At 46.7% G+C, this 25,274-nt stretch overlaps 3 protein-coding genes and 1 non-coding gene across 66 annotated transcripts in view, besides 2 other annotated features; 2 read left to right on the top strand and 2 right to left on the bottom strand.

Moving 5' to 3' along the window:
• Positions 1-4,651, bottom strand: part of PRMT7 (protein arginine methyltransferase 7) — a 49,852-nt gene extending 45,201 nt beyond the window's left edge. For 26 of the 61 annotated variants that reach the window (NR_165365.1, NR_147057.3, NR_147058.3 and 23 more), the window contains exons 1-2: positions 4,571-4,651; positions 3,494-3,628 (exon numbers count right to left, since the gene is read on the bottom strand). The gene's annotated coding sequence lies outside the window, so the exon portion shown is untranslated. The other 35 variants (NR_165366.1, NR_165367.1, NR_147056.3 and 32 more) reach the window with 4 other exon arrangements.
• LOC124903789 (small nucleolar RNA U13) lies at positions 2,330-2,431 on the top strand. Its single transcript, XR_007065234.1, has one exon. It is a non-coding gene; the product is annotated as a small nucleolar RNA U13 (small nucleolar RNA).
• On the top strand, positions 4,724-17,636 carry SLC7A6OS (solute carrier family 7 member 6 opposite strand). 2 transcript variants are annotated; one of them, NM_032178.3, is made up of 5 exons: positions 4,724-4,935; positions 5,057-5,335; positions 11,438-11,644; positions 13,169-13,289; positions 14,265-17,636. In NM_032178.3, the coding sequence occupies exons 1-5, from the start codon at positions 4,744-4,746 to the stop codon at positions 14,393-14,395; spliced, it is 930 nt and encodes a 309-aa protein (NP_115554.2). In that variant the 5' UTR covers positions 4,724-4,743; the 3' UTR covers positions 14,396-17,636. The 2 variants fall into 2 exon arrangements, with proteins under 2 accessions (NP_115554.2, XP_011521674.1); XM_011523372.4 differs by lacking the exon at positions 14,265-17,636 and having other exon boundaries at positions 13,161-13,293.
• Positions 4,755-5,719: an enhancer, noted in NCBI's record as "H3K27ac hESC enhancer chr16:68343854-68344818 (GRCh37/hg19 assembly coordinates)". NCBI's record gives its function as "activates a minimal SCP1, AML or CMV promoter by ChIP-STARR-seq in primed H9 embryonic stem cells {active_cell/tissue: H9 hESC(primed)}" and the evidence as "EXISTENCE:reporter gene assay evidence [ECO:0000049][PMID:30033119]".
• SLC7A6 (solute carrier family 7 member 6) overlaps positions 13,851-25,274 on the bottom strand; it is a 37,294-nt gene continuing 25,870 nt past the window's right edge. For both annotated transcript variants that reach the window (NM_001076785.3, NM_003983.6), the window contains 7 exons: positions 25,130-25,274; positions 24,338-24,461; positions 24,009-24,112; positions 20,869-20,965; positions 19,157-19,306; positions 18,860-19,043; positions 13,851-18,436 (listed from right to left, as the gene is read on the bottom strand). In NM_001076785.3, coding sequence (NP_001070253.1) covers positions 18,342-18,436; positions 18,860-19,043; positions 19,157-19,306; positions 20,869-20,965; positions 24,009-24,112; positions 24,338-24,461; positions 25,130-25,274 — 899 coding nt within the window. In that variant the 3' untranslated portion in view covers positions 13,851-18,341. The remainder of the gene's footprint in view (positions 18,437-18,859; positions 19,044-19,156; positions 19,307-20,868; positions 20,966-24,008; positions 24,113-24,337; positions 24,462-25,129) is intronic.
• Positions 17,390-17,684: a silencer, noted in NCBI's record as "tiled region #7703; HepG2 Repressive non-DNase unmatched - State 14:Gen5'". NCBI's record gives its function as "represses a minimal TATA promoter and a strong SV40 promoter by Sharpr-MPRA in HepG2 cells {active_cell/tissue: HepG2}" and the evidence as "EXISTENCE:reporter gene assay evidence [ECO:0000049][PMID:27701403]".

The following is a 25,274-nucleotide window of genomic DNA, read 5'->3' as shown; positions in this document are numbered from 1 at the left end:
AAACTACAACAGATTCATACAGATGTCTGGAAACTTCAGCAGGCTTCGGTGCTTCCAAAAGGTTCAAATGAGCCTCACAAGTTCATCTAGGTGCAGCCCTCAAGGCTAGGAGAAGAGATGGGGTACTGTTAAAGAAGTGCCACCAATACTGCCTTCGTATGCTGAACCCTTAGCTTAAGGAAAAATATGAAGATAGAGCAAGTCAAACCAGGAAAACTTTCATCTAAACAATAAATTACAGTCACACATAAACCTAAAAATGGATAATCCCAGGAATATAATGATGAGCAAAAACAGCAAATCACACAACACATGCAATACGATTCCATTTCTATGAAATTTATAGCTATGCAAAATGGAGTGATACGTTCTTCAGGGATCACACTAAAAAGCATAGCAAGGAATCAGGATAGTTAACTCCTAAAAGAGAAGGGAAAGAGATGGGATCAAGGAGGGGTACGCAGTGGACTTCAAAAGTATTGTTCTTTTTCTTAAATTGGGTGGTGGGAACATAAATGTTCACGATATTAGCATTCTTTTTCTTTTTTTTTTTTTTTAAAAGATGGGGTCTCGTTATGTTGCCCAGGCTGGACTCAAACTCCTGGGCTCAAGCATTCTTCCTGCCTCAGCCTCTCCAGTAGTTGGGACTACAAGTGAGTGCCCCACACCCAGCTAATACTAGCATTCCTTATGCTTCATTATTTTTTATAGTGATTACTTCTTATCTATTCAAATTTTAATTTTAAAAGCAATTTTTAAAAACCCTCCATCATCTAAAAAAATTTTGCTTCAAACAAGTAAAATGTCACCAGATTCACGTCTTGTATGGCCTGTCTCCCCAAAGAGATCTATTTCTGGGAGGGAGAGAAACACCACCGCTCAAAGTCTAAAGGCACTCCTCAGCAGGTGTGGGCTCTCCCAATACCCATCCCTCTTACCATGCAGAAAGCAATAGGTGTTCTACACTGCCCTTCCTTTCTTGTTAAACATTGGTGCATCTTCAGGAAAACTTAGAAAGAATGCCTACTCCACATATCCCTAAACATTCCTATGGCATTTTATTGGCCAGAGTTTTTTTTCTTTTGAAGTTATCTAGAGTAAGTAAACATGGAATTCTTACACAAATAGATGAGAAACAGGCTGGGCACGGTGGCTCACACCTGTAATCCCAGCACTTTGGGAGGCCAAGGCAGGCGGATCACCTGAGGTCAGGAGTTCAAGACCAGCCTTGCCAACATGGCGAAACCCTCGTCTCTACTAAAAATACAAAAATTAGCCAGACATGGTGGCGCACGTCTGTATTCCCAGCTACTCAGGAGGCTGAGGCAGGAGAATCACTTGAATCCAGGAGGCGGAGGTTGCAGTGAGCTGAGACCGCACCACTGCACTCCAGCCTGGGCAACAGAGTAAGACTCCGTCACCAAAACAAACAAACAAAAAGCAAATAGATTAGAAACAATCTTCCCTGAACAAACTCAGGCCGGCAGTCAGGTTCAAAGTAGACAATTTGTCCAGGTAAAACTCTACTACTAAAATCTCAGCATACCTATCCCCTAGTCTAATGATTTTCAAACTTTCTGATAACCCCAGTAAGAAATATACTTTAAAATGAGACTCAATACACATACCTGCATGTACGCATACAACTAAATGTTCCACAAAACAATACTGACTTCCTACGAACAAGGCCCTCTGATATGCTCTATTTCATTTTTATTGTTTTTAAGAGATGGGATCTCCCTGCTGTCCAGGTTGGATCACAGTGGCTATTCACAGGCATGATCATTACACTCTACAGCCTTAAACTCCTGGACTCAAGCGATCCTCCTACGTCAGCCTCCCAAGTAGCTAGACTACCGGCATGCACCACGGCACCCAGCTGCACTTTTACTTGCTGGTCAGGACCCATCAATGGGTTGCAACCAGCAGTTTAACAACATTGCTATAATCCACTTTATCTCATGTACTAACATTTATTTTACAGACAGAATATCTAGAACTGTCAGAATCTGTAATGTGCATTAGAAAACTGTGTCCAACAAATGTTGGAGTAGAGAAAGAAATGGCCATATCTGACTGAATGTTCAAGGAAGGCTTAAAAGGTGGATTCAGCTGAGGCAGGAGGAGAAGGAGGGGGTTGTGGACGGAGAAGGCATTTCATCCAATTAGAAAGGCTTAGACAATCATGCACATTATATCAATCAGTTTAGTGAAGTAAAACTGGACCAGGTGTCAAACATATCAATAGGATCCATATGGTAGAGTCCTGAAATACTAATCCTGTGGTCCATGTGGAATCAATTCTGAAGTCACTTCAAGGTTAAGAGTCATCGTTTTGTAGTTCATAAGCGTGATGACTGGGTGTTCATGTGCCTGTGTCAGACGTGCCTCCCTCAAACCTTTACTACATTGGCACGTTACCCATTTGAACTGGAGGAAAAAAAAAACTTATAGTGAAGAACTTTAATCCATAGGATTCCTTTCTTGTCTGTGATGTTGCTGAGTCTAAAACCAGGACCACAGTGTCTTTTCAAAACCTGGAACAGCCCAGGCACGGTGACTCACGCCTATAATCCCAGCACTTTGGGAGACCAAAGCAGGTGGATCACCTGAGGTCAGGAGTTCGAGACCAGCCTGGCCAACATGGCGAAACCCCGTCTCTACTAAAAATACAAAAAATTAGCCAGCATGGTGGCAGGTGCCTGTAATCCCTGCTACTTGGGAGGCTGAGGCAGGAGAATTGCTTGAACCTGGGAGGCAGAGGTTGCAGTGAGCCAAGATCGCGCCACTGCACTCCAGCCTGGGCAACAGAGCAAGACTGTATCTCAAACAAACAAACAAACCTGGAACTATGTCTTGTGTTAACAATTTTATGAAGGCATGAACCTCTTCTGGTGGGCACTACACACCTTCTCTGGCTGAATGCCCTCATCCATTATTATTTGTTCTCTCCCAGAAGCAGTCTACACTACAGATTCAGGAGATATTCTCTGAACCCCTCCTCATTCTCCAAGAGTTGTAAACTTGCATGGCCATTTACAAGGAGGAAATAGAAACCACCATGCCAAGCCCTAATTGTATTAGCCGTCAGACTGCAGAGCAGATGGTCCACTACATTCATTCAAAATGTATTTGCTAGGCGGTGGTGGCTCACACCTGTGATCCCAGCACTGTGAGGGGCCGAGACGCAAGGATATCGAGTCTGGGAGTTCCAGACCAGCCTGCGCAACATAGTGAGACCCCGTTCTCTACAAAAAATTTTTAAAAAAATTAGCCGGGCGCGGTGGCCTGTGCCTGTAGTCCCAGTTACTCCCAGCTACTCGGGAGGCTGAGGTAGGGGAATCACTTGAGCCCGGGAGGCAGAGGTTGCAGTGAGCAGAGATGGCGCCACTGAACTCCAGCCTGGGTGACAGAGTGAGACCCTGTCTTAAAAAAAAAAATATATATATATATATATATATATAAATATACATATATTAAAATTAAAAATTACCCGAGTGTAGTGGCGCGTGCCTGTAGTCCCAGCTACTCGGTAGGCCGAGGTGAGGATCGCTTGAGCCCAGGAGGTCAAGGCTGCAGTGCGCCTCGATCACACCACTGCACTCAGCCTAGGCAGCAGAGTGAGACTCTGTCTCGAAAAAATAAAATAACAAAATTTATTAAATACCTTCTATGTGCCAGGCACTATATTAGGGACTGGAGCCACCACCACAAGCTAGAGAAGACCCTTGCCCTCCAAGAGCTTAGACTCTAATGAGAGAGTAATACAAATTACAGACTACATGAATGCAAGAAATACACAGAGCGTTGTAGAAAGAGAAAACCAAGGTTACAGAAGGACTCTGAGGAAACTAGCATTTGAGATCTACAAGACAGACCGGGATAAAAGTTGGGGAAGAGTTTTTACAGGTCAGGAATCCTTACCCCAACTTTCCCAAGAAAAGGCCCTAAGGTAGAAAGAACTAGGTTGCATAAGCAAAATGTGCCAAAAGCCTGAGCGACCGAAGCACTTTTGCAGAAGCCCCCCGCTCCTCATCTCCTATCACATCTTCTGCTCAATCAAGCTGGGCCTTGTCGACTTCGGAAAGGCGTTTGGATTTTGTTCTAAAAGCACTGGGAGCCACTCAAGAGTTTTAAGCAGAAGCGTATCTACACTAGGCTTACGCTTTTACAGGACCACTCTGGTTGGCGTGTAGTGAATACACGACTCTCCAATTACTCAGAACAGTGAGTGGCAAAGACAACAGGTCTGGCAATCAGAGAACTCGTGGCCCAGTTAGGGGTGCGATGGTTGGAGCTACTGCGGTCTCTGTGGCTGAGGGGAGGCGCCAGGCACGAGTACTGCGACAGAGCCCCGCGAGTGGCAGGCACCCGGCTGCACTGCAGAGCCGGGGCCAGCCTAGAACCCCGCTCTCCTGCAGGCCCGGGTGTCCCGAGCTGCCCCACGCGGAGGAGTCCAAGTAGGCCCACGCTAGGCTCCTCTGCCGAAACCCTGGTGCCAAGGACACCATGCTCGCTGCACACAGAACCCCAAAGCGACCCCACCTTCCCAGCATACCCAGCGCCTCACCCGCCGCGGGAAACCCTCCGCTCGCCTCCGCTGCTACCACTTTTACCGCGGCCAGCACGCGGGGCGGGACCTCGCAGCGTCGAGGAGCGTGCTGGGGGGCGGGTCCTAAAGCAGAACTGGAAAGCTATCCCATCACACCCCGCGAGCTCCCACAGTGCTCAGCGGCAGCCACTATGGAGGCCGCCAGGACCGCTGTACTCCGGGTGAAGCGGAAGCGCAGTGCGGAGCCGGCGGAGGCTCTTGTGCTCGCTTGTAAACGCCTCCGGAGCGACGCGGTCGAGTCAGCGGCACAGAAGACGTCGGAGGGTTTGGAGAGAGCGGCGGAGAATAATGTCTTCCACTTGGTGGCCACTGTGTGCTCCCAGGTATTGGGCGTGGTGCAGCTGGTGTGGAGGGCATCTTCGGGTGCAGCCGGTACGAAACCCGATCCCTGACCCGCTCGCGAACTCCTGCTTACGCTGGCCTCCGTCCCCTGTTGCCCCCTAGGAGGAACCAGTCCAGCCTCTCCTGCGGGAAGTTCTGCGCCCGTCACGGGACAGCCAGCAGCGTGTCCGCCGTAATCTCCGCGCCTCGGCTCGGGAGGTCCGGCAGGAGGGCCGCTACCGGGTGCTTTCCAGCCGCCGATCCTTGGGGACCACCTCGAGCGGCCAGGAGTCCGAGTACACGCCGGGGAACCCAGAAGCCGCCGGGAACTCGGGCTTTCAGTTGTTAGACCTTGTCCACGAGGAGGGAGAACCTGAAGCCGCCTCTGCAGGCTCCTGCAAAGTGAGTATGCCCCTGAAGGTGGTCGCTGGGCTTCTCAGGATGGTAATGCAAGAAGACTGGGCCCAGTCGCAGCACAGTTTCATCTTAAGGGGATGGATGATCCATCCGGCGTGACGGCCTCATTTTACAGATTTGGTTGTTCATCCAACATGTGTTTACTACGTGCCTACGATATGCCAGGTATTTTTTTAGATTCTGTGGATACAGCAGTGAGGACCTAACATGCAGGTAGACAGAAACAGTAAACAAGTCTATTCAGTGTCAGATGATGATAAGGGATGTAAGGAGGCGGGGAGACAAAGCAGGAAGAGTGGTGCCACTTCAGTGAGAGTGTCACTGAGGAAATGACATTTGAGTGAAGACTTGCAGAAGGTGAATGGCAGGGTATTCCACATATCGAGAGGACTTCTAGGCAGAGAACCTGAAAGTAAAGAGGCCCTTAAGCCGTTTCTTTGCTCCTTGCAAGGTGCCTGGAGCCCGGTGAGCTAGAGGAGAGCAGTAAGGAATTTGAGGGGAGGATGCCTGCTAGGTACTTGCAAGGACATTGCCTTTCACCCTGACTGAGATGGGGATCACTGGAGCAAAATAGAGATAGAGCAGGTAGGAAAATTGATCAAAGAGAGGTTAAAGGAATAGTCCTGGATAGCATATCAAGTTTGAGGTAGATTTAGGTCTAGAATGCAAGTTTTCTCACATTTAATCCAGTGCTTTTCTTTATATTACATTTGCTAACTTCATTTGCAATCACTTCCAAAAAAAGTCTACTACATGCAGCAAAACTACAGAAATGGAAAATTCTCCTTGAGGCTGGGCACAGTAGCTGACGCCTAATCCTAGCACGTAGGGAGGCCCAGGCGGGAGGATCACTTGAGCCTGGGGAGGTCAAGGCTACAGTGAGCCATGATTGTGCGGCAGTGGCATTTCAGCCTAGGTGACAGAGTGAGACCCTGTCTCAAAAAAAAATAAAATACTCCCTGTAATCCCAGCGCTTTGGGAGGCTGAGGCAGGAGGGTCGCTTGAGGCCAGCCTGGGCAACAAAGCAAGACCTTGTCACTACAAAAAGGAAGAGGAAATTAGCTGGGCATTGTGGCACGCGCTTGTAGTCCTAGCTACTGGGGAGGCTGGGGCAGGAGGATCACTTAAACTCAGGAATTAGAGATTGCAGTGAGCTGTGATCAAGTCACTGCCCTCTGGTTTGAGCAACAGAGCAAGATACTGTCTCTAAAAAAAAAACCAGAAAATTCTCAACATAAAGTGTGCCCTCTCTTTTTTTTTTTTTTTTTGAGTCAGAGTCTCACTCTGTTGCCCAGGCTAGAGTGCATTGGCATGATGCTGGCTCACTGCAACCTCCAACTCCCGGGTTCAAGCAATTCTCCTACCTCAGCCTCCCAAATAGCTGGGATTACAAGCGTGAGCCACCACACCCAGCTAATTTTTGTATTTTTAGTAGAGACGGGGTTTCGCTATGTTGGCCAGTCTGGTTTTGAACTCCTGGCCTCAGTGATCCGCCCGCCTCAACCTCCCAAAGTGCTGGGATTACAGGCATGAGCCGCTGCGCCTAGCCAATATGCCCTCTCTTGATAAACATTTTTATAGAACTCATTTTAATTATTTTTGCAACTTAAAACAATTATAATTCAAAATGAATCCACAAGCAACAAGCAAATGGTACTAGTGTAATTGTTTATTGTTGTTTTTGTTTTGTTTGAGATGGAGTCTCGCCCTTGTCGCCCAGGCTGTAGTGCAGTGGCGCGATCTCGGCTCACCGCAGCCTCTGCCTCCTGGATTCAAGCAGTTCTCATGCCTCAGCCTCGCGAGTAGCTGGGATTACAGGCATGAGCCACCACACCCGGCTAATTTTGTATTTTTAGTAGAGACGGGGTTTCGCCACCTTGGCCAGGCTGGTCTTGAACTCCTGACCTCAGGTGATCCACCCGCATCGGCCTCCCAAAGTGCTGGGATTACAGGCGTGAGCCACCACGTCCAGCTGGTGCTAGTGTAAGTGGATAGCAATTTGTGTATGATGTCCATAGCCACATCTTTCACCAAAACATTCCAGACTAATGCATGACTTACAAAATGTGTAAAGTAAACCAATGCTCCGTGGAATTGAATCAAGTAAATAGTTCACTAGGCCGGGCACAGTGGCTCATGCCTGTAATCCCAGCACTTTGGGAGGCTGAGGCGGGTGGATCACTTGAGGTCAGGAGTTCAAGACCAGCCTGGCCAATATGGCAAAACCCCATTTCTACTAAAAATACAAAAATTAGCCGGGCGTGGTGGCGGGCGCCTGTAATCCCATCTACTCGGGAGGTTGAGGCAGGAGAATCGCCTGAACGCGGGAGGCAGAGGTTGCAGTGAGCCAAGATTGCACCACTGCACTCCAGCCTGGGCGAGAAGAGCAAAACTCCATCTCAAAAAACAAGAGTAAATAGCTAATTTAATTTTATAAAGAAAACTAGGAGATAAACTGATGACCGATATGAACAGAGATTTTTCCAGTAAAGCAATACCGACTCTAAACATACCAAAAATGTTTGCACAGAGTAATTATAGGGGAAAAATGAATTTAAGCTTAAAGCATGCTTGAGGTTTTATGCATACTAGACTAGCAGGAAAAAAGTAGTTGATAGCAATGCTGGCAAGGCAATGATTAAAAGCGTACACAATTGTAGGAATAAAATTGATGCAAGCCTTTTGGAAAACAGGATGGCATGGGAGCCATGTTTTACATATGTAAATTTATTATTGTTTGGATCTAAAGCCATGCATAATCTAGGAAAATTTTAAAATTAAAAATTTCTAAGGAAATTTAAAAATGACAGCATTTCTATGTTATGTTACAATGAATTTCTCCTTAAATTGACACAATTTACATTTTAAGCAAATAAATTCCTATTAGATAAATTTAATAGGAAATTTAAAAATTAAAGGACTTCAGTTCCTTTTAACTAGTAGTCTCACCTCCAAGATTTATCCTAGGGAGATAATTCAGCAGAAGCAAACAGCTAAGCTAAGCTATGATATTAACAAATGCTACTGTTGATTGACTAAGTAATTATGTCAAATAGCGTGCTAGGTACTTGTTATATTTTCTTTTAATTTAACTCATTTAATCCTCACAAAAACCTTATGAGTGAGATACTTTTCAAATGCAGGAAATGGCACATTCATTGCAACACTATACATGGAGGTTAAAAATTATATCCAAGAGGTTGACACATACAACTGTCTGGACCCTTAGAACTGATAACCATGAAAACTGATTGTGGGCGAAAATATATATGTTTAACAGTACAAAATGCTGTGTGTAGTGAAACTGAAAATATGGGCTGGGCTCAGTAGTTCACACCTGTAATCCCAATACTTTGGGAGGCCAAGAAAGGAGCACTTGAGCCCGGGAGTTAAAGACTGCAGTGAGCCATGATCATACTGCTGCCCTCCAGCCTGGGCGACAGAGCAAGACCCTGATTCTGAGTGAATGAATGAATGAATGAATGAATGAATGAATACACATGGACATAGACTTCAAAATAATTTTCAGCAAGGGTACGGTGGGTTACTCCTATAATCCTAGCACTTTGGGAGGCTAAGGCAGGAGGATTGCTTGAGGCCTGAAGTTCAAGACCATCCTGAACAACATAGCAAGACTCCATCTCTACAGAAATAATAATAATTATTTTTCTTCTAGCTAGGAGGAGTGGTGCACACCTTTAGTCCCAGCTACTCAGGAGGTTGAAACAGAAAGATCATCTAAGGCTAGGAGTTCAAGGCCAGTTTGGGCAACATAATGAAAACCGCCTCTTTAAGCAATAATAGGCCGGGCGCGGTGGCTCATGCCTGTGATGCCAGCACTTTGGGAGGCCAAGGTGGGTGGATCATGAGGTCAGGAGTTTGAGACCAGCCTGACCAACATAGTGAAACCCGGTCTCTACTAAAAATACAAAAATTGGCCAGGCATGGTGGTGCGTACCTGTAATCCCAGCTACTCAGGAGGCTGAGGCAGGAGAATCACTTGAACCCGGGAGGCAGAGGTTGCAGTGAGCTGAGATCACGCCATTGCACTCAAGCCTGGGTGACAAGAGCGAAACTCCATCTCAAAAAAGAAAAAAAATAATTTATGCTCATTATGGGAAATTTGAAAAAATATAGCAAAGGAGGAAAATCTCCCATTTTACCATCAACCCAAAAGTAGGTAGAATAGAACTGGTTTATTTCCTTCTGAGTACAAAATTCTGTATCTGTCATTTTTCTGTATTGCTAGTCTTGTACCTTTTTTTGAGACAGCGTCTCGCTCTGTTGCCCAGGCTGGAGTGCAGTGGCATGATCACGGCTCGGTGCAGCCTCCACCTGGGCTCATGTGATCCTCCTGCCTCAGCCTCTCAAGTAGCTGGAGCCACAGGCCTGCGCTACCACACCCAGCTAATTTTTGTATTTTTTGTAGAGACGGTTTTGCCATGTTGCCCAGGCTGGTCTCAAACTCCTGGGCTCAAACATTCCTCCGACCTTGGCTTCCCAAAGTGCTGTGATTACAGGCATGAGCCACTGTGCCCAGCAATCTTATATTTTAATGGCTGCATAATTTGACTGAGTGGAGGGACTTAGGGGTTGGAGCCAGAACTTTTGTCATAGGTAACTTTAAGTTTGCTCAAGGTTCTGCAGAAAAACTGGCATCTCTAGCTTCTTTTTGACTTTGGAGCAAGGAAGAATTCCTTAGTCTGTAAATTATAGCATTGGTCTCCCCTTGTCTGCCTTGGCCATGGGATCTTCCCCATTTTCCTGCGTGGTGTCTGCTTGGAGCTGTGCAGTGTCCTGTGATGAACCTATCAAGAGGAGCCATCTGCAGCATGTCCCTGTGGTTAATAAACTGACCCATGCTACCAGGCCCCTGGATAATACAGCCTGTCAGCACTGGAGCACATCTTACCTGGGCCATTTCTATTCTGGGGCATTGCATTTCAAACTGTTCTTTCCAGTAGAAAGACTATAGGTGAGCCCATTCCCAATTTGTGGTTAAAAGTAGGATGTCAATATATGGCAAGCCAAATGATGGGCAATGGTAGAGGTCACCAGGAAACACCTGTTGGCTTCTACAGGAGGCCACACAAAATAGAGACTCATTTCAGGTTCAGCCATAGGGGTGCTACGGTGGACCTACTGATCCCCAAAGAGAGAACATTGTATAATACCAAAGGATCTCAGAAGACCTATAGAAGCAGGTCTGACTCAGAGCTTGGGGTCAAGACTGGCCAGGTCTTCTGTCTTTCCCCTCTCCTTAGGCCAGTCTTCCCATATTTTTTTTCTTTCATTGTTTTGAGATAAGTCTTAATCTGTCACCCAGGATAGAGTACAGTGGCATGATCACGGCTCACTGCAGCCTCAACCTCCTGAGTACCTGGGACTACAGGTGCACACCACCACACCCAGCTAATTTTTGTATTTCTTTGTAGAGACGGGGGTTTTGCCATGTGGGCCAGGCTGGTCTTGAGCTTCTGGGCTCAAGCAAGCTGTCCACCTTGGCTTCCCGAAGCATTGGGATTATAGGTGTGAGAGCCAAGCACAAAAGAGCAGGAGCCTATCTTGTACGTTTCTATCTTAAAGTAAGAACTACACATTAATTTTACAGAGATTCTTGATTTTTTAATGTAATAATTAATTAAAAGACTAGGAATTCATGGGGATAAGAATCTTGACCACAACACTATGGAACTGTAGCTGAGCAAGGTGGCTCACACCTGTAATCCCAGCACTTTGGGAGGCTGGGGCGGGCAGATTACTTGAGGTCAGGAGATCAAAACCATCCTGGCTAACACAGTGAAACCCCATCTCTACTAAGAATACAAAAAATTAGCCAGGCATGGTGGCACGCACCTGTAGTCCCAGCTACTTGGGAGGCTGAGGTAGGAGAAACGCTTGAACCTGGGAGGCGGAGGTTGCAGTGAGCCAAGACCACGCCACTGCACTCCAGCCTGGGCGACAGAGTGAGACTCCGTCTCAAAAAAAACTGTAGGGAGCCTTCCTTCACCCAACTCATAGGTTCCTCCTCTTGGAACATCATGTTTTGGGTCATGCGTGTGTGTGTAATCTGTGGTTTCTTTACAGACATCTGACCCAGATGTGATCCTCTGCAATTCTGTAGAGTTGATCCGTGAGCGATTGACTGTGTCTGAGGATGGACCAGGAGTCAGGCGCCAGGAAGAACAAAAACACGATGACTATGTGTATGACATTTACTACTTGGAGACGGCCACTCCAGGCTGGATTGAGAACATCCTCTCCGTGCAGCCCTACAGCCAAGAATGGGAGCTGGTAAGGGGGCCCATGAGCAGACGGGGCATGAGGCATCCTAAGCTCTTAATCTAATCAGAATGCTTTGCTTCCCTGGGCTCCACTCCCGAACAACATTGTCCTTAGTTCTTTTCCTCCTGAAAAGGAAGAAATTATTCTAAGTGCCTTTTAGGAACCTGACTTTATAGTACAGGGAATTTGGGGAAAGATCATCTTAGATTGATCATTTTTACATTAATGAATATTTTACAAGGTTTGCAACATCACCTTTATTGTTTATAGCTATCCATTCTTAGGGGGGAAATATGTATATGGGGCTTATGATAAGATAAAGACGATAAAATCAGAAATTCTTAACATGAGTGACAACAAAATCTATTTTTTAATTCGTACCTTAGAAGTAGAGAAACCTCGGATGAAGAAAGCTAACGTCCTGACATTATTCTTTTTTTTTTTTCTTTTTTGAGACAAGGTCTCACACTGTCACCCAGGCTGGAGTGCAGTGGTGCTATCTGAGCTCACTGCAGCCTCTATCTCCCAGGCTCAAGCAATCCTCCTATCTCAGCCTCCCAAGCAGCCAGCCAGGAGTACAGGCATGCACCATGATGCCCAATTTTTGTTGATTTTTTTGTAGAGGCAGGGTCTCACTATGTTGTCCAGGCTGGTCTTATGGTCTTGAACTCCTGGGCTCAAGTGATCCACCTTGGCCTCCCAAAGTGTTGGGATTACAGGTGTGAGCCACCACACCTAGCTGACACCATTATCTTTTTTTTTTTTTTTTTTGAGATGGAGTCTCGCTCTGTCACCCAGGCTGGAGTGCAATGGTGCAATCTTGGCTCATTGCAACCTCCGCCTCCTGGGTTCAAGCGATTCTCCTGCCTCAGCCTCCCAAGTAGCTGGGACTACAGGTGCATGCCACCATGCCTGGCTAATTTTTGTATTTTTAGTAGAGACAAGGTTTTACCATGTTGCCCAGGCTGGTCTCAAACTTCTGACCTCAAGTGATCCACCCACCTCGGCCTCCCAAAGTGCTGGGATTACAGGCGTGAGCCACCGCGCCCAGCCTATTCTCAAATTCTAAAATGCTTAACAAGAAAACTTAAGGTGGCACCTAATGGTCATGCTCAGACTATAATCAAGAAGCACTGCATCCTGCACCTGCATTAGGACAGATTTGCAGTCAGGTACCCACCTTGGACCACTGCATGGCCCTTCCTCCTGCCTTTCCGCACCTCTTACGCTTGGGTTTTGGTTTTGACCTTTGGAATTTGAAGGAATCGCTCAGAGCCATCACTCCTCTTTTCCCTGTGTTCCCTTCTCATGGGGTCCAGCATGTCCTATCATTGTGGAGCTGGGCTCTGAGTGGAAGGGGGCTATTATCTCCCTCTCATAGCCTCTTGTGCAATGGAGTCAAACTACTAGTCTGCAGTTTTTTCACAGGGCACTTTTACATGATATCTCTTCAAGCTGGTATGCTAACAACTTCCCCCAGAGCATAACCTTAGAGGTTTTGACTTGGACTCATGTTTGTGTTGAGATGTGTAGGTGAATGATGATCAAGAACCAGAGGACATTTACGACGATGAAGATGACGAGAACAGTGAGAATAACTGGCGCAATGAGTACCCAGAGGAGGAGAGCAGTGATGGAGATGAGGATTCCAGAGGTGGGTGGCAGCCCCAGACCGGGAGGGACTGGTAGGATCTGAGACTGAGGTGCAGGCATAGTTGACAGGTGCATCTTAATTGCCTTTCCTTCTCTGTCATTGAGCGCCAGCAGCCCAGCCGCAACTGAGCCATGCTGTAGGAGACCCAAAGACCAGTGTTTCCCAGGGGCCTCCTGGGGGTGTAATAATCCATCAGGCCTGGATTCAAATCTGTAGTTGTCATTACTTTGCTGTGGCTCTTGGGCAGTTACTTCACCTCACTGAGCCTCATTTTCTCTCCAAATGAGATGGTTCTGCATGAATTTTAGTGGTTGAGATTATGTAAAATATGTAGCTCATTGTCTCTTCCCCTGCCCCAGTCAAGAAACCAATGAAGAGAGAGGTTTGCCAGTAGGAATAAGCCCAGAGTTTTCACAAATCAGTTATCTAACTTCTCAAAAAACTGCTGCATGTACAACTGTTTTGAGAAAGATGCAACACAGACATAATACCTGGGGGAAGAAGAAAGATGCTCTGACAACATAATTCCCGTAGTAACTATATTAAAGAAGAGAGAAGAAGGCCCAACAAAAAGAATTTATTGGTGTCTGATAACAGAGAAATGAATCAAACAATTGCATATTCTTTTGGGGAGGTTTGTCAATAACACGTTAAAAGGAGAAAGGTACAAAAATATTTACAATATGACTACAACTCTTACAACAACAAAAAATCCTATACGGAGGGGAGAAGTGACAAAATACTCCACGGAGGGGAGAAGTGACAAAATACTCCAGTGTGAAGGAACTTGGTTTAGATGATAGGAAAGTGATTCCTTCTTTAAAAAAAAAAGAATTCTATATTCTTTTTTATTTATTGAGCAAGGATTTTGCATTACAATCGGGAACAAAAACAGACCTTTCTGAGAAGAGAAGGGGCTCCTGCAGTAGCCTAGGAAAATCACATTTAGAATCCACTCCCGGGATGTCATTCTAGGCTCTGCTGACTACAACAGCCTGAGTGAGGAGGAAAGAGGCAGCAGCAGACAGCGGATGTGGAGCAAGTACCCTCTGGATGTGCAGAAGGAGTTCGGCTATGACAGCCCCCACGACCTGGATTCAGACTGATGGTCTTGTGATGTCCATGAGGTTCTGCCACATGCCCTTGAGGGCTCTGAGTCCAGAGTTAACTGCCCTGCTGACATCCTGTTAGGTTTCCTAGCTTAACATGTGGAAGGAAAAGCATATCAAGCATATCGGGCGGCACCATCCCACCACAGTGAAAACTTATGTTAGGGGAGTGAGTCTTTTCCACTTACAGTAGGACCCCTTTGCCTCAATCAAAAGTGACCCTACAGTTTGAAAGAAAAAAAAACGTTGAAAAAAGGAAGGTTTCTTTAGCTTTAGCTTCTTGGCCCAGGAATTTTTCCTGGCATTCAGGTTCTGTGCTGAAACCACAAGGGAGGGGGAGGTTCCCATTTCATTAGCAGTAAGCTTCTGCTGTGCCATACCACCAGGCTGCCTGCCTCTAGGAAAACCCTGTTCCTTTTGATAGAATCTAAAAGGGGTACCAGTGGGTCCCTTGTAGCAATACAGACTGGATAGTAATGGCCATTAGGGCAGAAAGTAGTCTGAGCAGTGGGAGATTTTAGTTAACAGCTATTTCTGCTTCCAAACTCTGATAACGGTTGTGAAATTACTGACTGACTTCCTTTGGCAGTGGGGCCAAGAAACAATATATATGAATGTGATACATGTGTTTAGTAAAATCTAGCTTTGAACATGGAAGAAAGTAATTCTTTGAAAACCTTTTAAATCTGAATATCTAAAACAGGGAGCGGTAGTGAAATAGAAGGTTCAGCATTGATTATAAATACCAAGGACTTAAGGCAAGGGAGGAAAAACAAAGTACCTTCTGAACTTAGCTTTCCACTGAGTAATGTTTACTCTTCACAGCACCCACCACAAAAACAAACTACTATCAACAGGATCAATTTTATTAACAACTTGTATCTCTTCTAAGCAGACTCTGTCCGTATGCCTTTCCAAACCATAGCTGCCTTAACTGACTGCCTTGGTGTTTATTCTAGCGTAACATTGTCCAGTAGAACTATCTGCAGTGATGATATGTTCTGTGTCTGCACTGTGTAGTAGTAGACACGGGTGGCTGCTGAGCACTTGAAATGTGATTAGCGCAACTGAGAAACTGAGCTTTTAATTTTATTTCATTTTAATGTAATTAGCTACACGTGGCTAGTAGCTGTTGCAGCGGACACCACAGGTCTAAGGAAACAACACAGAACATTCAGCTAGGGGTGTACCCTCATAGCCTGTGAGTGTCTCTTACTCACTGTCATGGGGGAAGGTGAGTTACACAGGGAGGTACCTTCTTGCCGCCTCTTTTAGGATTTCCTAAGTATCTCTCCTTCATCCTACCTGCCATCATTCTTTGACTTTATGTCCATTTTCTAAACCTTTGCCTACACTTGCTCTTATCTACATGGAGTTGTTCAACCTGCCGAAGTGATTAAATTCTGTGTACACAGGCCGTATATATTGCAGCTAATTAAAACAACAAACATCCTAGGCATGCACAAAGGTATAATTCACCGTTATAACAGGCAGCAACTTGTATGTCTAATATTAGACATCTTGCTTTCTGTCTGTAGGCATAGAAACAAAGGATTGAAAGCCATTCTCATACAGCAACCGGGTGAAAAAAACAAAACACTGTGCTGTTACAATGTGCTCCCTGCTATTTATACTCATTAAGTTTCCCCAATATTAAAGGGCTGACAACTTAATAAACTGTACTCACTGCAAAAGGGATAATAAGCACACCAGGAAAAGGATTTAAGGAGACAGACAACAAAGAGCTGGCAGAAATTAATTCCACCATGAAGCTTGAGTGCTGTAGGGATCCTCTGGCTTCGCTCCCAAAGAGAGGATCCTGGGAGAAGTCTGTATCCAGCACAGAGGGGAAAAATGCTGTCACCATCCAAAAATGAAAGGAGGATGACATGGCTCACTAAGCAAGTACTAGGGCACCTGGCATGTGAGGTCCTTGCTTTCCCTAGAAGCCACTGGTGGGGGGCAGCAAATTCCTGGGATTAGCTGGTTATCTGGTGGAGAAAGCTAAAGCTGGGGTCAGGGATCTTTAAAAGGCAAGCACATTTTGCTTAAAGGATTAGCTCCAGAGGAGCCCTGGGATGGGTGCCAGCTTAGCTCAGACAGAAGTCATGTTCTTAGCGTTCAGGCAAGTCAGCCTTTGCATAAGACACCCTGTCGTCGGGCAGGAATTTGCCGTTACAAATCCCAAACCCATGACAGTAGGAATGTCACCCCATGCTTCACATATGCATTATGCTCTGAACCCAGGGCAACTATGACCATGCTTCCTTCAATCTTTATTGAGCAAATATATGGCCAAGGTTATTCCCTTATCTGTGACTGGGTGGAGAAGAATGGTCAGGAAGGGAGACTGCCTCACTGTTGACCAATTCCAAAACCTAAGGATAAGCCCATGGGGTATGTCAAGCTAGCAGGTTCTTCTCGGCCCAGGATGACAGTGTCTGGGGGCATCACAAAACAGTTGTACAATCCAATGCAGCCGTCCTGCTCATACAGTAAGATCCATTAGGCCAGAGCAGGCCTAACTTGGGTGGAGAGCCCAGCCTGAGCACCAGAATTAGTTGCTTCCACTTGTGCAGCCTGCTGAAGAGCCGGACTCAGGTTGAAGCAGCTTTCCTCCCAGTCTTCACTGATCTCCACAGGGAGAAAACAGAAGTCCCCACAAGTACCAAGCTCTTCCTGAGACTGCAGCCACCACACCTCGGGGAAGGGGAGGCTGGCAGGAGAGGAGTACACTGTCCCGGTGACCCACACCAAGGTGGCTCCAAGTGTAAACAAAGCCTGGTGCCAGGGACAGAAGAGGATGCAGCCTGATGTGAGGTTTTCAGAAAAGTGAAATGACCTAGCACCAGGTTGGGATTGCTTGGGTCTGCACAGCAGTCCCTCACACTGCCCTTACAGAGAGGAACAGGTTATTTGATGACTTGGGCCCATGAGATGTTCTCCAAGCCATTGACAGCTGAGAGAATTCAGGTGATCCACCTGAATATCAGAAGTTTCAGCCCTCTTAGAGTTCGTAACAGAAACCCAGAGATTTACTGTCAGCTAGAACAAAGATGTAAGGTCTCAAGTAAAATAAAGGATTGTCCTTCAAAACAGCAATATTAACAGACTTCTGACTCAGGAATTTGTTCATCTGTCCTTGCTGGACCTGAGCCAAGTGCTTGTAACGTGATCTATGATCTATCTGTATGCTAAAGTGTAACAGGTACGTGAGTAAAAAAATCTTTAAGGTTCATTGTTGCAGGTAAGACTCAATAGAAATTGTGCTAAACAGCATAAAACCTGTGGTCAGAGTCTGACCCAATACCACAGACATTTCTGAGCCCAAAGGGACTCAGTTTTGGGTACTTTGATTTTTAAATACAATCAGCCTATTGCATCCTGTAGATGAAGAGACACGCATGCTTCGTTAGAACTGGTGTTCTGGACTAAATATCAATAAATAAGGGAATATAACTCTCTCCCCAGGGAAGAATTTTGAGCCAGAGGAAGAAATGGTAGCATTTCAGGCCTTTAAAGTCAGGTGTTGTACCTGGTCAGAGAAAAACTTCCCATAAAGCAGCCCCTCTATAGGGACTCCTAGTTCAAATACCAAATTCAGAAGCCACCAGCCCTATCAACCTAGCATTCCCTCTTCCCCACTGCACTTTACCAAGTAAATATCTGTAAGAGCTGCATCTACCTATCAGGAGTAAAACTAAATGACCATTCCCCCCGTTCCCCAATCTTCCCCCCACCCTCTGAAGCCCCCACCTTGAGGTTGGCCCAGATCCTGAGTCTCCTATAGCTTACCAATAAGAGTGAGCACTGGCCCTGAGCCCCACTATATGATTGGGTCAAAAGGCTCCTTTAATTCAGGAGAGTTGGGCCCACAGAGTCTTGTTATCAGGATTTTGCTGGTTGGCCTGCCTTCCAGGCCTCAGAAAGCCACCTCTGACCTCTAGTCAGTTTTCCTCTCATCCTTTTTTTCTTCGGCTACATCAAGCTCAGTCAGGACACAAAAGCAAAGCTGCTGGGTGCCTCTGGTGATAGCAGCTAAATGAAAATAGAGCAAGCACAGGGTTTAGTAAACATCTAGCTACAGCCCTAACCTGAACAAGGCTGACTAGTAACATCTATGGCTCCCTCGCCACCTGCCCCTTAAGTACCCTATATCAGGCTTTGCCCCTGTCTCCCAACAAGCCTCATCATCCTCTGTCCCATGCCCAACCAGAGTCTGATGCACAACTCATCTTCCCAGGTGATTTGTGTTGTCAGGAGGTAATGTTTTAGCCCCAAAATAGGACACTAAAATTAGAACTAAAGTGATCATGTCAAAATCAAAAGGGAAGTCGTGGACAGCTGGGTCACATGGCCTCCAGCAAATTCTGAGTATGGGGAAGCTGTTAGCCACCCCCCACCTCTGCATGCGCATGCACACATAGCCGCCAGTGAGTAATGGGGCACAGAGAAGCTCACCCAGGACATTCCGAATAAACAATGGCCTCCGGGACTCTGGCAGGTAAACACCCATGAAGTAGAAAGGGACTCCAGAAAGGGCAATCCCGATGCCAATGAGGGAATTAATGGTGTCAGTGAAGAGGGGCACTATCACCAGAAACACGGAGCATATGCAGAACACGATGGGGAAAAACACGCTCAGCTGAAATAGAGGGGGTGAGAGATTAAGTAACGTGGGAAGAGGAAACAGCTCGTGGGCAAGAAGCCACCTTAGGGAGATGGCCCACCCCTCCTAGTCTGGCCAGAGCTGCTGACCTTGAGAGGCCGGGGCCGCTTGGGCTCCTTCCAGCGGAGGTAGAGCTGTCCAACAACAGACAGGCCCACGAAGAACCAGTAGCTGAAGCTGAAGTAGTTGATAAGCTGGAAAACATCCTCCACGATGAGGTAGATGAGTGCCATGGTGCACTGTGGGAAAGGGGTGGGGAGACAGGTGAGCATCGTCACCACCTGCGCCCCCAGGAGACTCCCCCACCCAGCAGTCAGTACTAGATCTGATGCCACTTCACCAGATTACCTCTGGCTCTTTTCATTGACCCCTTGGCATCAGATAGGTCCATTCCTTGATGTACCCTGAGGTACATTAACCCTCAGGGTAGCATCTTTCCCCCTTCTGTTGCAGCCCTTCCTCCACTCAATGCCTCCCCCTTGTTGCAAGCACTTTAGAAAAAGGCAGACGCTGAGGCCCTCCTCACTTCAGTGCAGCAACCTTAACATGGATTACACGGTGTCCTAGAGAGGGGTTAGACCTGGGTCCCGACTGCCTGGCATACAAATGGGGGAAACGCCTTCAGAACCATCTCACTGTCCTCAGGCCTGAGAAATGCTAACTAGCAATTGGATCCCTACCCATCTGGACTAAATAATGTCAATAAATAATGGAATCTAACTCTCTCCCCATGGAAGAATTTTGAGCCAGAGGGAGAAATTGTAGCATTTCAGGCCTCTGAAGTCAGGTGTTGGACCTGGAAACTAGCAAAATGGATCCATCCAGACATAAGACAGCATTAGCTTCTGGAACAAAAGAATCCTAGAAGGCAAGGATTAGGGCCTAGGGTCCTGGGACAAGGTCAAATGTGTTTAAACTTCAATAATCTTTTCATTACAAATTATCAACAAAGGATTTAAAACCAAATAGCTCATTCTGTGGAGATAAGGGAGAACCCTGTATTAAGAAGAGAAGGCTGGGCGTGGTGGCTTGTGCCTATAATCCCAGCACTTTGGGAGACTGAAGTGGCAGCTCACTGGAGCCCAGGAGCTCAAGACCAGCCTGGGCAACATAGTGAGACCTCATCTCTACAAAAAATAAATTAGCCAGGCCTGGTGGTGTGTGCCTATAGTCAGATAACCTCCTAAATTTATAAATTCAATGCTGGCCCTGTCAAAATATCAAGAGAATTTTTCTCTTACTTTGATGAAATGATAGAAAAGTTCATCAAGACAAATAAACGAATATGAGAATTGCTAGGAAAATTCCAAGGGCGGGGGGACTAAAGAAGTACCCTTGGTCCCTCTTTAGTTTTCAGATAGTCAGTATAAAGCTAAACTAAGGAGACTTGGTGCTGATGGGGAGGATTAGTTGAGATGGCACATTTAAGGGGCATACAATAATAATTGGCACATATTAAGGACCCTAAAAAAATTAGCTATTAATTTTCTGTGATAAAAGTTTGAAAACTGTGGGAAAATGGATTGTTGAGTGAGCGATATTGGTATAGCTGGCTGCCATTCGAGAAAAAATTAAGTGAATCCCCACCTTTCTCAATACTATGCTATAATATAAATTCCAGATTAATCCAAAATTAAACGTAATAAAACCATAAAAGAATTAAATGACAACAAAAAATGAACTGTTTTTCACATCTTAGAGTAAGGCCTTTCTCAGGGTCCCTCTTATTTAACAACTTAGCACAAATCAGAAGGAGCAATGCACAGATCCACCTGAGCCCCGTGGTCCCAGCAAAGCTTACATTGAACAGTAAAGCAGGGATAGGTGTAAAACGCTCAATGTGGATCATGGACAGAAGGTCCGGTAGGTGGCCCTCCCGGGAGCCCACGAAGAACAACCTAGAAGGATGAGAAATGTGTCAGCAGGATCCTTTACTCCTTTTACTCAGCCATACTCACTCCTCACTTGGACAAACTCAGCTCAGAGCCCCCGAGGAAAGCAGGATGCAGCCTCCCAGGAGCATCCCAGGTCCTTAGTGCATCACCAGTCCAACCTCCCTGCTCCCCCCTTCCCTACAGATTTTCCCTCCCTCTTCATCCCCGGGCACCTCACCACTACCCAGATGCCCCACCCACCATCACCCAGATACCCCCTCTTCTCTCAGCCACAGATACCTCACCAACATCCAACAGATGCCTCACCCTGCTGTCACCCACTAACAGACTCACCCAATCCATGCCAGATTCATAGCTAACATAATAGCTTTTAAAGGGCAGCCAGATTTCTGTTCATGCCCTCCATATATTTTCCCTGAGCTGATGTAAGGCAAGACTGAGGGTCAGAGAGACAACCCAGGCTTCCTTTCTACACCTAAAGAGCTCTACCGACTGGGAAAAAGACTGGCACAGCGTCCAGGCATGGTGGCTCATGCCTATAATCCCAGCACTTTCGGAAGCCGAGGCAGGTGGATCACCTGAGGTCGGGAGTTTGAGACCAGCCTGACCAACATGGATAAACCCTGTCTCTACTAATACAAAATAAGCCGGGCGCGGTAGCACATGCCTGTAATCCCAGCTACTCGGGAGGCTGAGGCAGGAGAATCACTTGAATCCAGGAGGCGGAGGTTGCAGTGAGCCGAGATCGCACCATTGCACTCCAGCCTGGGCAACAAGAGTAAAACTCCATCTCAAAAACAAACAAAAAAAGACTGGCACAGAAATGAACTGTCCCCAGCATGGTCAGCATCACCTTGGAGTACACGACACTCACTCGCTAGGCTTGAGGCTTGTGCCAAAATGCTTTGCAAGAGGAGAGATGCAAAGAAGAGTTTCCAGAAGCAAGTCGGTAGGTGGAAAAAACGAGCATGTGCATAGGCAAAATGTGTGGAGGTATGAAAGAGCGTGGCCTCTTTGGAGGTTGATGTAGAATGCCTAGAGCCCCAGGACAAGCTGTGTGAGAAGAGGGTGCTGGGAAGAACCTGCATACAAGGCCACACTGTGGAGTCTGAACAAACACAGTCAGCTGTGGCTTTGAGGTAAGGGCCTGACGGGATTTGACACCAGACTGGAGAGCAAACTAGAGCAGGGGGAGGCTAGGGTGTCAGGGAAAGGCTAGAAAAGAAGTCCATCTATCACAACTAGGCTGAGCAGAGGGAAGGTGACACTACTTTTTTTATTTTTGAGATGGAGTCTCGCTCTGTAGCCCAGGCTGGAGTTCAATGGCGCGATCTCGGCTCACTGCAACCTCCGCCTCCTGGGTTCAGGCAATTCTCCTGCCTCACCCTCCCGAGCGGCTGGGACTACAAGCACGTGCCACCATGCCCAGCTAATTTTTCTTTTTTTGTATTTTTAGTAGAGACAGGGTTTCACCATATTGGTCAGGCTGGTCTCGAACTCCTGACCTAAGGTAATCTTCTCGCCTAAGCCTCCCAAAGTGCTGGGATTACAGGTGTGAGCCCCACGCCCAGCTGGACACTATGTTCTTTTACAAGGCCTTGACTTCTCTAATTCTTTGCTTGCCCCAGGGAGGCACAACACATGGACTGGTGTGTGAAAACCAGTAAAAAGAATGAACGGGACAAAACTCTCTCTTATTTTTCATGCTTCTGTGTGTTCACATGGCAAATATTTATTGGATGACTATTATACCCCCGGCCCTGGGGACAACACCAGTTATAGAGTGAGTGGAAGAGAAATCAGGAAAGAAATTTTCTTCTCATGTATCTTATGTCATAGAAGCCATGGGAATTGTTTCAAAATTGGAAAGTGGTCAGCATCACTTGCTTCAGAGGTCCAATAGGATGAGGACTAAAGACAGGCTAAGAAAGAGATCGCCTTAATAAGAATATTTTTCAGGTAGTAGAAGCCAAACTCTTAACAGATGGGAAAATGAATGAAAGTTGAAGCCCAGACTGCTGTCTCACAAGCCCTCATGCCTCCAGGGCCAGGTATGGTGGCGCATGCCTTTAATCCCAGCTACTCGGGAGGCTAAGGTGGGAGGATCACTTGAGACCAGGAGTTTGAGACCAGCCTGGGCAACATAGTGAGACCCCAATCTCTAAAAAAAATTAATTTAAAAATAAAAAGTAGTACATCCAGTAAGTGGGAAGAGGAGAGATGCGAAACGCTATTTTGTGTCTCTCCTAAGTGGAGAGGAGAGAAGCTATTGGAGAGCTGGCTCCAAGTGAGCACCCACCAAAGAGAAGGGCCAACTGATGGAGCAAACTGCTGAAGAAGAGGGGAAGTGCTGGAACCCCGAGCCCAAGTAGCAGAGTCTGCCAGGAAAGGCACACCTGCTCCTTCCTCTTCAACAACAGGAAGGACCAGCACGCTTATAGATGTCTGCACAGAGGAGATCAGGAGACCTGATGGCCTCGGCATTTTCTGGGAAGTGAGGGGGAAAGTCTTTCTGTACATAGCACCAATACCTGGTACACAGCAAGTGCTGTTATCATTTACTGAAGGAATGAATCCTGGGGCTACAGCATAACCCACAAGGAGCCTAGAATCTGGTCCCTGCCCAAGTCACCACTCCAAGCTGTTGCCTTTCTCCCCTATACCTTTCATCAATCTGTCCTCATCTCAGATGGAAACATGAGCTACCAGCACACAAAACATGAGCTACCAGCACATAAACATGAGCTACCAGCACACAAAATATGAGCTACCAGCACATAAATATGAGCTATCAACACATAACATGAGCTATCAGCACACAATCTGTCCTCACCTCAGATGGAAACATGAGCTACCAGCATACAAATGTGCTACTTGCACAAAGGCAAGTACATGCCCACATACCAAACACACACACACACACACACACACACACACACACACACCCTATATGCCCATGAGAAGGAGGGAAAAAAGGAACTCTTATGCCTAAGCCCCAGAGAATGAAATATTGTGGTCTATTATCAGTGACACAGAGACACAGTACCTTGATGAAGCAAAGATGGATGCATTGAGGCCCCCAAAGCAGGACAGGGCAACAGCAATGGGGATGGTCCAGCTGAACATGCCAAACGTCTGGTCAGCAAATGTCTGGGGGCAGGGCACAGAAAAGGCACTTAAACGCACAGGGTTTCATAATCCTCCTGCATCTATGATCTCGGAACAAATGCAATCACTGCTAAGCAGCCCACCCTCTGGCCTAGACTCATGACCTCATCCTGCAGAGCTGAGGAGGGTGCAGTAAGACAGACTGAGCTGTGCAGGGTGGCTCAGTATCAGGAGATGATGAACAAATGGGGATCCCAAGAGACTCACCACAGCCACAGCATCACTGCTAAGGACATCTGAAATGTTCAGCACTGTGTAATAGGCCACATTGGTCAGGATGTAGATGAGCGTCACAATTGGCATAGAAATCCCAATGGCCAAGGGCAAATTTCTGTCAGGACAAGTGAGAAAGGACTACCTAGAACCAACCTCTCCTTGGGAACAAAGTTTATCAAGTCTCCACTGGGATTTTCCTAACATTTAACAGTTCACTAGCCTCCAAGTCTTTGAGGGAGGCTCACCTTCCCCTTGACCCTGGGTTCTTTCTATTGAGAAAGACCCAACTTTCTCTGTGAAGATAGCTCATGATCAATATTTAATCTTTGCCACAGTAGGACCAATGGGTCCTACTGGGTTTCATAATCCTCCTGCATCTGTGATCTCAGAGGAACAGTGCAAGGAACAGTGTCCTGGGGACTGGATGCCAGGCTGGGGACCCAGCTGGCCAGAATAAGTTTTGGTTCTGCGGGCTGTAGTGTCAGCACCAGAGTCCGAGGTCCTAATTCCTTTGCCCCAGCTGGGCCTGCTGCTCCCCACTGAAGGCCCTCTCCTCTAGGAAGGCCCTATCCTCCAGTGCGAACGTGAGGACAGGGAGCCGAAGGCTTTCCTACCTTCACTCACTCCCATTCTAGCCCTCAGCCCCTCCTAGCTGGAGAAGGGGGAGTAGGGAGAAGAGGGGAGGAGAGTCGGAGGGAGGAGGAGAAGGATGAGGGCAGGCACGCCCACTATCAGCAGGAGTTCCAGCCAAGCTGGGGAGTGAGAGTGTGATCCCATCTTTACCTTTCTGGGTTTTTGATTTCTTCTGTTACAAAATTAAGGGTGTCCCAACCTGAGTAAGAGAAGAGGGCAGAGTAGAGGGCAAGAGAGAGGTTTCCCATGTCCCAGGAGGAACCCTCAAAGGCGTCCTGAAAGTGCTCAGAGTGTC

This window comes from Homo sapiens, chromosome 16 (genome assembly GCF_000001405.40).
Source record: "Homo sapiens chromosome 16, GRCh38.p14 Primary Assembly".
NCBI classification, from domain to species: Eukaryota; Metazoa; Chordata; class Mammalia; order Primates; family Hominidae; genus Homo; species Homo sapiens.
The sequence above is the reverse complement of the archived record's forward strand: the minus strand, read 5'-3'. Positions and strand labels throughout refer to the sequence as shown.